The sequence below is a fragment of the Homo sapiens genome, chromosome 20 (assembly GCF_000001405.40).
Source record: "Homo sapiens chromosome 20, GRCh38.p14 Primary Assembly".
Taxonomy (NCBI): Eukaryota; Metazoa; Chordata; class Mammalia; order Primates; family Hominidae; genus Homo; species Homo sapiens.
In genome coordinates, this window is record NC_000020.11 from 42,679,606 (window position 1) to 42,692,719 (window position 13,114).

General features: G+C 43.4%; 1 protein-coding gene and 1 long non-coding RNA gene across 12 annotated transcripts in view; one reads left to right on the forward strand and one right to left on the reverse strand.

Moving 5' to 3' along the window:
• Window positions 1–13,114, reverse strand: part of PTPRT (protein tyrosine phosphatase receptor type T) — a 1,158,017-nt gene that overhangs the window by 647,716 nt on the left and 497,187 nt on the right. The window lies entirely within an intron of this gene.
• LOC101927159 (uncharacterized) lies at window positions 5,878–8,957 on the forward strand. Its single transcript, NR_110004.1, has 4 exons — window positions 5,878–6,226; window positions 6,340–6,454; window positions 6,543–6,707; window positions 7,592–8,957. It is a non-coding gene; the product is annotated as an uncharacterized LOC101927159 (long non-coding RNA).

The window sequence follows — 13,114 nt, forward strand, 5'->3', positions numbered from 1 at the left end:
TCTTCCATGTCCATTCCAATATTTATGTACTGACACATTTTTTGTGTTGTTATAATAACACATAGACCCAATGTAGATTCATTTTTCTTCCTTCACTTATATTGTAAGGATTTTTTTTTTCATATACTGCTTGAGCTTTATCATCATTGTCTTTAATATTTGCATAACAATCCATCAGGTTATCACACTAACTATTCTCTGATTGCTGGACCCATGAGTTGTTCATGTTTTGCTATGGTAAATAATGCTGCAATGAACATCTTTGTGCAAAGACTTCAGTCTGTCTTATCTCATGTTTTCTTAGAACCAACTGCGAGGAATGGGATTATATGTCAAAGGGTATGAACAAGAGGAAATGAAGAGTAGAACAAGGAAGAGGAGAAAGGGCAGGCACAGAGGAGGCATATGAGGGTAGAATACAATGTGCATTTGTTTGAGAATATTTCACTTATAGAGGGCCTCTGGGTTATTCACATGGATAGAAGGCAGGTATACATTTTAGCTTGGAACTCAGGTAAGGGCTTTGAGATAGAGACGCACTAAGCATTTCCCTTCCAATTAATTACCTAGAAGCAAAGATTCTCTAGAAACAGAATAATTGCTATGAAACAGGGGTGGACAATATTTTCTCAGTGTGACTCGAAGCAAATCTTAAGGGACAACTCCAGATTGCCTCTATTATAGCCTGCCATTTGGTCAGAGAAGGAAATTAAGCAGATTAGTCAAGCTAGATGCTTTTCTTTACAAAGCCATGGAGGTTATTACTCAAGACCTTGTTATCTCAAAGGTGTTTGCAAATTGATTTTTGGATAATTTGTTCCAGGTAGAGAAGCTAGGTTGGCAGGCAGATAATTTCTAAGCTCATCCTTTGTGCATGTTAAATATATGGAACCTTTGATTGCCATTATCAACTCTCCAGAGCTCCCATCAGTCTCCAATGAGGCCCCAGGGGTGATATTTTGCAGCTCTGTGATGACTCTGCCCAATTCCTTAATATAATTATTCACAGACTAGACCTCTACAGAATTAAGAGTTGCAGACTTCAATAGTTTGGAGGCTGAGTGAGTGGCCCCATTTAGTTCTTTTCCATTGACTTTTCACCATGGTTTTCTGCTCTCCTATTTCAGACAGCAGTATTCAATTGCTGACCACCAGAAAGAAAATAAAGTATTAAATCTTTCCAAATGGTTAGCTTCTTTTCATGTATTTCTAATGGCATGTGCAAGTATAGTAACAAACATCCCCTTGAGTATATAAATGTCCCTATCTCAAATGACTTGCGACTTCACACATTTGTGTGCAGATTAGCCTCACGGTTATCTCTCTCTCCATCCCCTCAAGAGTAGACCATGTAAGTTTATCACGGTGTTTCCTCTATCTGGCACCAAGGAAGCCATCAGATTATTGTGTGCTTTATTCTTTCTTTTTTCAGTGATCCATTGATTCATAATTGGCATTGTTTAGAAGGCACAGGTACTGGTGGTTCAAAGAGAGAGAAGCAAAAATATAGCACAGAATGTTTTTGGTAAGCAGCACATTATTTTAAAAATACATAGACAAACCCTATCTATTTATAGCAGTTCTCTATCTCTAAGATGAACTCTTCAAGAAGACAGTATAGGAAATGTACAGGGCCATCCAGTCCAATGGCTAGAGTCAGCAGGGAGGAAAAGGAAACCCCTGTGTATCTCATTTGCCAGACAGAGCACTGAGCGCATGAAATTTAATGCAGCCAAGTAAATCAGTGATAACAAAGTGTAGTAAAGTCATGATGCGGGTGGCAGAGGCAGTTTTGAAGCCTGTGAAAGGACCCAATCTGGTCTAGAGGTTAGGGAAGCTCTTGCAGAGAGCACTTAGGGGAGTGTTCTGCTGGGACCACTCATGTTGAGTCTATGAACAAAGAAAAATTCCTGGGGGTCCCCTAGTTCTCAGTTGCTTGGGCTACACTGGTCAACAATTCAAACGATGTGCCCTGGACACTCATTCATTCACTCGTTCTATGAATGTTGAGTCCCTGCTGCTGGTCACACACTGTCCTAGGCACAGACACAATCTTGGCTGCATGGAGCTCCCCTTCCAGCCTTCACTCGAGGATTGACAAAGAGAAGTCAGGAGAGAAGGAAGCTGACTCAGAAGCTGTTGAGAAGGAGGGCATTCGAGAATAGAGAGGCCCTGGGAGCCAGACCTAGGTAAGAGCTTATGGATCCATAAAGGGATACACATATACACAATGGAACGCTGCTCAGCAAGAAATGAACAAGCTGCAGACACAGACACACACAACAACATGAGTAAATCTCAAAAAAATTCATGCAAAAGAAAAATAAAAGAATGCATGATGACCCCACTTATGTGAAAAGTTCAAGAACAAGAAAAACTGCTCTATGGTGATAAAAGCCAGAAGCATAGTGACCTGAGGGGCAGGTACTGACCGGGACAGAGCCTGAGGGAAGTTTCTGGGATGTTAGAATGTTCTCTATATATTGATTTGGGTAATTAAATAACAGAAATCAAAATAGTGTTACTATAAGGGAGATGACTGCCTGAAAGAAGGCATAAGAAAAATTTGGGAGGTTATAACCATTTCTGTATCTTAACTGGGGTTATGTAAAACTCATTAAACTGTGAACTTTAAACAGAAGTATTTTTATGCATATAAGTGATACCTTAAAAGTTAAAAAAAACAAAAATATGGATATGTGACTCACTGGATGAAGAGAATGCCACTAATTACCTGAAAGGGAACCTCAGAAAATTGGGAGAAAATGAGCCTTTACTCCTATACCATTCCCTCTTATCAGCACCATCAGATGCTTGAATTCCTAACAGTTTTTCAAACAAGAGGTTGTTCAGGCACACACCAGTTTCTTATCCATGAGGCTTTTCACTTCTAACACAACCAATGCCCTCTTAACAGACTCCACACCATCATCTGTGCAAAGCCAGGAGTAAGTGTTTAACATCTGACAGCACCCTCTGCTCACAAAGTTTGCAACTAAATTAAGGAGGAGGAAGTCTTGCCTTCATGGAGCTGAGGGCTGAGCTGGGAGATGACATCAGTGCCTTCCAGCCAGGCATCAAAGCGCTGCGAGGACAAGGATGCCAGGAGCCATCCATGAGACCTGGGCAGCAGCGGCCCTGAGCTTCCAAGGCTCTCCTTCAACATGTAGATGGTGAAGTGACCCCTTCCTGTAATTCTGCCACATCCTCAGGCATCAATCTCCAGAACAATTCTGTCTTTCTTTTCCCTGCTGTGAGCACTTGTAACAGTTTGACTCCCTAGAAATTCCTACAGAGAGTAAAAGTGTTTCAAATAGCTGGAGATGGAGCTGTGCGCATGTACTGTCTGCTCTAGATAGAAATCAAACGTTTTGAGAAAAACCAAACGTTACTAAGACGTGAAGTGAGCCTTGATATGATTAAGGTGAGTGTAACCTAGCCTCCAACACTTTACACCACACGTCTCACCCCACCTGATCACCCTTTTAACTGCATTTTCTATTCACTGACCCTCCAGGTCTGTGGGAATGCCTCCACCCACCCAACCCTAGCCACCAACACAAACACATTCATACACAGACAGAAACACGGTTGTGCCATTCTCATTTCCAGACTTTTGTCTGTGCCATTTTTCCCAACTAGAATGGCTTTCCTTTTACTTGTTTTTTTTGTTTTGTTTTGTTTTGTTTTGAGACAGAGTCTCACCCTGTCACCCAGGCTGGAGTGCAGTGGTGCAATCTCGGCTCACTGAAACCTCCAACTCTTGGGTTCAAGCGATTTTCCTGCCTCAGTCTCCCAAGTAGCTGGGATTACAGGCACCTGTCACCACGTCCAGCTAATTTTTGTACTTTTAGTAGAGACGTGGTTTCTCCATGTTTGCCAGGCAGGTCTCAAACTCCTTATCTCAGGTGATCCACCCTCCTCAGCCTCCCAAAGGGCTGGGATTACAGGCTTGAGCCACCATGCCCAGCCTTCAATTACTTTTAACTAAACCATGCCTATTTTTCTTTTCAAAACTGCTTCATGACGACTTACTTTCGTGTAGCACAGGGCTAGGCACAGAGTAGATGTTCAATGCTGATTAAACTTTCTACGATTTATGCGCAACACTGTTTTCATACAATAATGGACTGAGGATCAAAAAGGACTACCTTGGGGCCAGGGTTCAAGCTTTCCTTGACCTTGGCTTACCACTAGCCAGATGTGTGACTCTACTCAATCTTCATGGTCCTCAAATTTATTTTACCTTGACAATGAAAGATTCAAGTCATAAAAGTCCCTAAATTTTCTCTACCAAGGGCCACAGGGATTCTATGTGTACTGAATGACTACCCTAACAGTGAGCAATCGGCAGTAGCCCAGCCTTCTCATTCTTCCCTGGCTTGGGCTCACAGTCCTTGGACACAACCTAAGTAGATATAGCATCAAATCCTCCAGTAGGTGCCAATCAGAATTAGTCTTTGTTGGCTGGGAACGGTGACTCATTCCTGTAATCCCAGCACATTGGGAGGCCAAGGCAGGAGGATCACTTGAGGTCAGGAGTTTGAGACCAGCCTGACCAACATGGTGAAACCCTGTCTCTACTAAAAATTAGCTGGGCACGGTGGTAAGCACTTGTAATTCCAGCTACTCGGGAGGCTGAGGCAGGAGAATCGCTTGGACCTGGGAGGCAGAGGTTGCAGTGAGCCAGGATCATGCCACTGCACTCCAACCTGGGCAACACAGCGAGACTCTGTCTCAAAAAAAAAAAAATTAGTCTTTGTGCCCTAACCAAACATACAGCCAGTGGTCAATAAATATCTGATGTCTTACTTAAATGGGTAGAAAAAATATTTGATAAGTTTTCCCAAAGTGAAAGGTTGAGGGTGGCAACAAAGAGATGAAAAAGAACAAGAAGTACGATGTTGTAGAGAATACTGAATGCACCTCTAAGCAAAGGATTGGAAGTATTTAGAGAGAAGACATCAAACAACTGACAGAAAGCAACAATCAAAGACATATGTAAAGAAAACTTCTCTGAAATACCCAAAGGCCTGAGTTTGCAGACTCTGAAGAGCACAGTGGGTTCCAGGCAAAATCAATGATGAGACTTCAGCTTAAGTACATACTGGCAATATTTTTGAAATATAAAACTAAAGAAAAATTCCCATAAGCCTTCAGAAAAAATAACAGATATCTATCAAAACAAAATAAAAAGACTAAAAACTCTGGTTCCAGACTTTATCATTACAGTTTCAAACACTGGGATGTGATGAGGAAGAGGATGATGAGAATAATCACAAATAACACCATGGGGCAGCTCCCATGTACTGCACACTTTCAGACACCTCTGACTGCCCTTAGTGTTCTACAGTATTGATTCATTTAGTCTTCACAGCAACTTTATGGGTGGGTAGATACCCATCCAAAGTCAAACAGTTAGTCATTCAAAATCCAGGACTGAGGCCAAGGCAACATGCCCGGGGTCTGCACTCCTAACCATTATGATAAAGACAATGGTACATTATGATAAAGACAATGGTATACACAAAAGGTCTTAAGGGGGATGTTTCCAGTCCCAAGAGTTTTATAGGAGGTTAGTTGTGGTGCATTTTCAAAGCCAGCAGAAAAAATGCTCTCAGTTTCTGAAGAACGCAGAGAAGAAAATGCTATGTGCATGCCTTCCCTTAGAGAAAAACTGCTTGAAGATTTACCCTAGTCCGCCTTGTGATGAATCAAAATCATGACCTCTAGCATAGGGGAATTGTGATATAAGAATGATCAGTCCTATGAGATGGTTAGCTACCACAAGACCCTCCTTTCTCAGATGTGAGTCTAGAAGAGGAGCATGATCTTGTGCCAGACTGAAGTGAACACATAGCCCAATCTGTAAGAAGGGGCAGAATGGCATGCCTTTCATCCACACAGCATTTAGGGAATGCTTAAAAACAAGCAATTTCATTATGAACGGTTAACTTTAGCTTCGGCCATCATCCTGAAAAGGGACATCATAAATTCCTATGAAAAAGTCTCTCCTTCACTTTGCTGAACTAAATTCAACAAACAAATCTCATCTACCTAAGCTTAAAACATCTAGATTTAAATACATGAAAACGCTGACGTTTTTCTTAGGGTTATGAGAATATAGGTACTATTTTTTCTTTATTCTGTTTCTTATTTGATTTTTTTACAAATGCCTAGTAAACCTGCATCAGTTGCTTATTATAAATATAAGCATTTGAAATAGGTAAGGTTTTTATATATTTCAAGCTTTTACATCTGGATGTGACCTCTCTTGCAGTTCTCTGCTCTCAATCACTAGGAGTGTTTAGCAGTCAATCTCCCCTCCTATCTGCCCAGGTAGCAGGAGTCAAGAACCACGATTACATCCATTTTCCCAGCAAGTTCCTCACCAATAGTTCACTAACAAGGAGACATCCTGGCTACCTCTGGGACCCCCTCAAAGACCTCCACTGTGAGTTTTGACACTTGACTTTCAGATAATCCTCTAATCATTGCAACCACACAGTAGTTTACCTGTTTCCTCATTTTTCTCTCCATAGTGACAACACAAAGCAGACAGTACTACACCCTTATTACAGATGAGGACACCAAGGTTACCTAGAAAGCAGCTGTGTCAATACCGCCTGCTCTGTGGCTACAGGCATTGCACTTCCCACCTACCCGCAAGCCCAGGTGTTACCACTCCCAGGAGCAGCCCTTACCCAGTGAGGGATGGAAGTTGGTGGATAAACATCCAGGTTTCCTTGACCCCTAGTGGGACAATGGGGTGGCTTTATTCAGTCTTTTAGATGGTCCTGGGTGGGACTGAGCACCAGATATCCTCTAGCACTTCCAGCTCATAGTGCACTCTTTTTTTTTTTTTTTTTTTTTTTTTTTTTTTTTTTTTTTTTTTTGAGACAGAGTCTCACTCTGTCACCCAGGCTGGAGTGCAGTGGCGCGATCTCAGCTCACCGCAGCCTCCGCCTCCCGGGTTCAAGTGATTCTCCTGCCTCAGCCTCCTGAGTAGCTAGAACTACAGGTGCTACAGGCATGCGCCACCATGCCCGGCTAATTTTTTATATTTTTGGTAGAGACGGGGTTTCACCATGTTGGCCAGGATGGTCTGGATCTCCTGACCTTGTGATCCATCCGCCTCAGTGTCCCAAAGTGCTGGGATTACAGGCGTGAGCCACCCTGCTCAGCCCATAGTGCACTCTTTAAGGGGCTTTCTTTCTTCTCAGTCTCACTTCGTCTCCTGTTTACCAGTGTTCCCTACAACTTAGATAAACTATTCGCAAATCCATGCTAAAGGATCTGTTTTTTGGGGAAATCCAGTCTAACATATTATGAAAACGAGGGAAAGTTACTTAACCTCTTTGTGTCTAAACTGCCTCACCTGTAAACTGGGGATATAGTAACATCTTCCTCATGGTAATTGCCATAAAGATTATATAAATTATTATAGTTGATACTTTAGAACAGTTCCTACACGTAACAAGTAAACTGTCTTTGCTACTAATATCATCATCCTCCCAACCAGCCACCGATGAGCCATTCAGCTGTCAGTGACAGCCTTAACTGATATTCTTATTTTGTGCCCCCCCAACAGAGAGACAGAAAGATCCCATCAAACGCATTCCCCTTCCTGTGTCAGGATCAAGACAGTCTACAGTCATGTCAGTGTGTACTCCTGCCAAAACTCCTACCAGCAAATAAATTTAAGAGCTCAGCCTCAGTCTACTTAACAACATCATGTTGCAACCAGTGAAGTCATTCAGAAATGCATAATTCAATAACAACTTAGCACCAGATGAAGTTTTATGATCTGCAACACTCTGTCTGCCCCGGCTCCCCCTTATCCCCCAAAACCTCAACATTTTCAAGATTACTCTTTGCTGGGCCACTTCCCAAAATTAAGAGCAGAGTAAACATTCTAGAAGAGCCTTCCTTTCCTTGCCTGCTAATCAGGAGTCCTCAGAAAGCATGAATCAAGAGTCTGTCACCTCCAAAGGAGGGGCTAGGAGAAGCTGGATTCTAAAGCTTTGGAATCAAAGGCCATGCTTCAGGAGCACCTTGTTCCAGGGCAGCATGGGTTCACAAATGGGCACCCTTCACTCCCCTCCCCCACCTCAGCCAAGCAGCCCTGCTATGAAGAATGGGGTGAAAGAAACTCTTGCCTTATCCAGTTTGGATCTTAAGAGTTCCAGAGACAACCACGTCTGTACACCCACAGGATGGTGAGAGCTGTTATTATTACTGTCACGCAGCAAGGACAAATAACATTCTCATAATGTTCACTGCGTGCCTGGCTCTATTTCGGGATTTACATACAAATTCATTTATTCCTCATATCACACCGGAAAGTAAGTACTATTCTAGTATGCATTTATAGATGAGGAGACTAAAGGAGTGTGCTAGTATTCAGCTCTGGTCTTTTTGCCTCAAGCCCACCCTGTTACATCAGTTATGTAATTCTGGAGCTGGGACCCCACTAACAACATCTCTAAACTACCTTGCCAGCTGGCTTTGGTCCAGTCCTAGTGATGGGAGACTTCAGATGGAGACTGGGATGCTGGAAGAAGGAAGAAGATGCTCTCTTTCTGCTTCAAGGTCCTTGTAGCATCATTCCAGCAACAGGGGCTGCTACGCTCCAGGCCTTCATCTTTTCTGGTCTTTGTAGCACCCATGGCACAGTATCTTTCTGAAGGAACTAATATAACCTAGGCCATGCCCCTTACAGCTGCAGTACAATCTGTGGGGTCTCCCTCCTCAGAGGTCTCAGAATCAGCCCTGCTGTGCTCCTCCTACAGACTTCTAGGTACCATAACCCCTCCTATTCCATTTTGTTACCCCAGCCCCAGGTGTGGTCACCACTTCCTGCCATTTTTGGCTACCTTAGCGTCCCACTTTTGCACTGACAGCCTTTCATCACTGTGTAATGGATTCCCTTCAATAAAAACCCTCTGTTTGAAATACCTGGTGTGATTTAGGGTTTCCCTCCTGGACTGTGATTTATATCAATAGGTATTATAATTATCTTTATTTTTCACATGAGGAGACCAAGGTACAAATTGCCCAAGGTCATGTGGCTAATTAGTGAGTGTGCTGGGATACTCAGGCTGTCTTGCTCTAGAGGCCATGATTTTAACTCACACAGTGAGCTGATGCCCCACTGTTCTCAGCACCCTGGTCAGCGACACAGTGAGGCAGGTACATGAAGGCTGGGAGATATCATATTCTGCCTAACTAACAAGTAATGAGGGCTGACTCTGCTATGTTTGGGGATGTGGAGTCAAAGCAAATAACTGTCTCTACCCTGGAGGAGACTAAGAGACTAGGGAAGGATGCAGAAACCAATGAGCTATAGAAGAAAGTGATACAGGCTGGGAAGTGGCAGGCCCAGAGTCCTGTGGACTCACACAGTTGTGTGGTATTGATACAGACAGAAGACAGGGAAGCACTGGGTAGAAGAGGGTGGTTCCCCAGTAAGGGCCCCACCCTCAAGCCTGAAGACCCACAGAGCTAAGTCAGCACAGACATTTCTGTTTTCGCACCCAAAAAGTTGCCTTTTGGCCCACCATACCTCCAATCCTGTCCCCATATAAACCCAAGACCTTAGTGGGCACACATACAAGTGGCTGAACGTTGGAACCAGCAGACCAGTGACAATGGAACAATGTGGCAGAGAAAGACAGAAGAGAAAGGATGTCTGGACGCTGAGGGGGGTTCAGCTGGAGGCAGTCAGATAAGAATCTGCCACTGGGCGGCCCAACTCCAGGGGAAGACCACCTTCCCACTCCATCCTCCCCTTCTGGCTCCCCATCCATCTCACTGAGAGCCACCTCCACGGATAAAACCTCGCACTCATCCTTTGAGCCCACATGTGATCCAATTCTTCTGGTACAGTGGGCAACTGAAGGAGTGAGCCACACCCGTTTCACATCCTGCAAGGGAGATAAGGGAAATCTCTCATTTCAGTATCATACACAGAATAGTGGTCCCAAAAGATGCTCAATTCCTAATCCCCAAAACTTACATAGACTCCAAAACTTGTATAGACTCTGAAGCTGTGATTAAGTTAAGGATCTTGAGTAGGGAGCATATCCTGGATATGTAGTATCCTGGATAAGTGAAGAAGGGAGGCAGGAGAGTCGGAGAGAGCGATTGGAAGATGCTATGTTCTGGCTGTGAGGGTGGAGAAAGGGACCACTAGGCAGGGAAAGCTGGTGACGTCTAGAATCTACAAAAGGCAAGGGAATGGACTCTTCCCTAGAGTCAAAGGAACACAGCCCCACTGACCCATTTTAGACTTCTGACCTCCAATGCTATAAGATCATAAATTTGTGTTGTCTTAGACCACTAACTTTGTGATTGGTTACAGCAGCAATCAAAAACTAATACAAGGAGAGATATCCAAATTAGATGGAGGATGTTAGGGAAGGCTTCCTAGAGCAATCAAATCATGATCTTGGTCTTAAAGGAAAAGGAGAGTCTAACAGGCACAAGGGTGGGGTTATTCACAAAGACAAGACTGGGTCATGCACGGATGGTATATCCTGCTGAAACACAGGTGATGGGGAGCAGGGGTGGGGGGCCAGCAAAAAGGCAATCAGAGAGGTCAAAAGTGACCTGATCAGGAATGGTCTTCATCCTGAGGCTGTGTAAGCAGTGGTGTCACGTAGGCACAAGAGTTTTAGGGACAACTCCTCTGAGTGCACGGTGAATAATGGGTCTAAGGGAGAGAAACAGACAGGGGGACCAATAAGGAAGTTGTGTCAATTACATTGAGGAAAGAAATGATGGAGGCATAACTCAAGTAATGGCCACGGGGCTGGAGAGGCAGAGGCAGAGGAACTAGGCCGAGGGTTGGGTTGGGAGACTGAAAGGACAGGACTTGGTCATGGATTGAATGTAAGGAGCAAGGCATATGGACCAGTACAAAGCTAGTGTTCAACATGCTGGGTGAGTCTCCCCTTGACCTCCACAATGCCTGCGCAGCCCACATAAGTGGAAGTCTACCTCAATTTCCCTGTGCAGTACCCCAGTACTCTATGCTAGCTTCTCCAAACTATGCCCAATACACTTCATCCCTTTGCATTTTCATATTCACTTTCACTTACAAAGGGAAGTGAGGTGTACTGGAAAGTAAAAGATCACTGGGTCAGACAGAGGTTGCCTTGCAATCTCTATTATTTAATGGTGTGACATTAAGCAAGTGATATAACTCCCTTGTGGCTGAGTTTCTTCCCATGTAAAATCAGGGTCATGGTCATACCTCACTGGGTCCTTGTGAAGATCAAGTGTAAGTGCCTGAAAAATGACAGGCCCTACATAAACGTGAGTTATTCCTTTCTTCCCATGGCTATTAGCTTTGGACCCCTGCACTGGTCTTTCTCCCCATTCCACAGCCTTCTCCTGTAATGGGCCATTCAGCCCAGCGCCTCTAGCCTCCTGAGATGCCCCCTCTGAGCATCTGAGCTCTCAGGGCATCTTGGGCTCATGCATCACATGTATCACGTTCGATAAAATCAATGTCAGCTTTATGCATGTGGTAGCCACTAATCTCCCACCAGGACAGGCAACTCACTTTCAGAAAGCACTGGAGGAAAAACACAGTAGCTGCCATAGCAGAACAAATATGACAAGATGACAAAGTAGAGAGAAAGGGGGTGGTAGGGAGTGAGGGAAGAAACATGCAATTCAGGGCAACCTGAGTCCAGGAAGCTTCGTCAGTTGCTACGCTACCAGCCACAGAAAGAAAGGCTTACGCAGAAGGTGTCTGTGGCTTTAGAGATATTGTTATTTTGCAAATTCTTCTCCTTGGCCTATCCCTATGTGCAAGGGGGGAGATGCATAATTAGTCTGTAAGCTGCTGAAATGGCTAGAAATGACTAGAAGTATCGACTGCTCTGAAGTGTCAGGAAGGGGTGTCCAGATGGATTAAGAGGCTTATCCATAGAGCCTACTCAGTTTGTGGGAAGAGTTTAAGAGATGACACCCTCCCTTATGCAAAGGAACTGAAAAACGAGCTTCTTCCAAATCCTCCCTCATTCCCCTAGGGCTGCCTCTGCCCCTGCCGTATCTTGCCTGAAGAGAGACTTAGCACAGCCTAACTCACTGCTCTTTGGGAAAGGACTTCGAAACAACACAATTCTGCAAGGTCCCATAGACCTCTGTCCCTGTCTCCAAAAGCCATGATTCTGACTAAGCCAGATGGACGCTGGGCTCCAAGAATAGAATTAGTGGCTTCATGCTGTTGTCTACCACAGGTCACTGCCTCTAGGTGCTTCTGTAGAGGAAGAGAACATGAGGAAACAGGAAGGAAAAGGTAAATATATTGTTTATGACATTGCAGGCACTGTTCTAGGTATTTCTAACATCTTATTCATGTATTTCTCAAGCATAGGCCCAGGGAACTCAATGACATATACAGTGATTTCCAAGGGCCCATAGAAAGCAAGTCTTTAGCTAGAACATCTTGGAACAAAATCCTGCTTGAAGGTGTTGGGTAGGTTTGAATTTTAACACACACAAAAGGTTTCAATGAAATATCACCTTTACACAAATTATTTCAGAGACTCCAAAGAGAAGAATTACTTCCAAACTTACTTTACAAGCCCAGGATAGCTTTCATTCCAAGACTTCACAAAGATATCACATGAAACTTTTAGGCCAATCTCCCTCGTAAACACGTAAACTAAAATCCTACATATTGTATTACCAAGCCAATCCTGTGATATATAAAATGAATAACAGGTTATAACCACATTAAGTTTATGCTGGGACTACAAGATTGATTTAATATTAGAAAATCAATCAGTATAACTCATCATATTAACAAACTGAAAGATAAAAATCACATAGTTGTCTCAAGAGATGCTGAGGAAGCACTTGATGGAAATCAACAGCCATTCATGATAAAACTTTTAGAAAACTAGAAATAGAAGGAAAGTCCTATAATCTGACAAAGGGTATCTAACACATTACTCTAACATCATAATCAATGGTAAAATACTACACACTTTTCCCTGATTTCCCCAATTCTACTGGTAGTTTTAGCCAATGCAATGAGGCAAGAAAAAGAAATAAAAGAAATAAATGTTGGAAATGAAGTAATAAAGCTTTCATTATT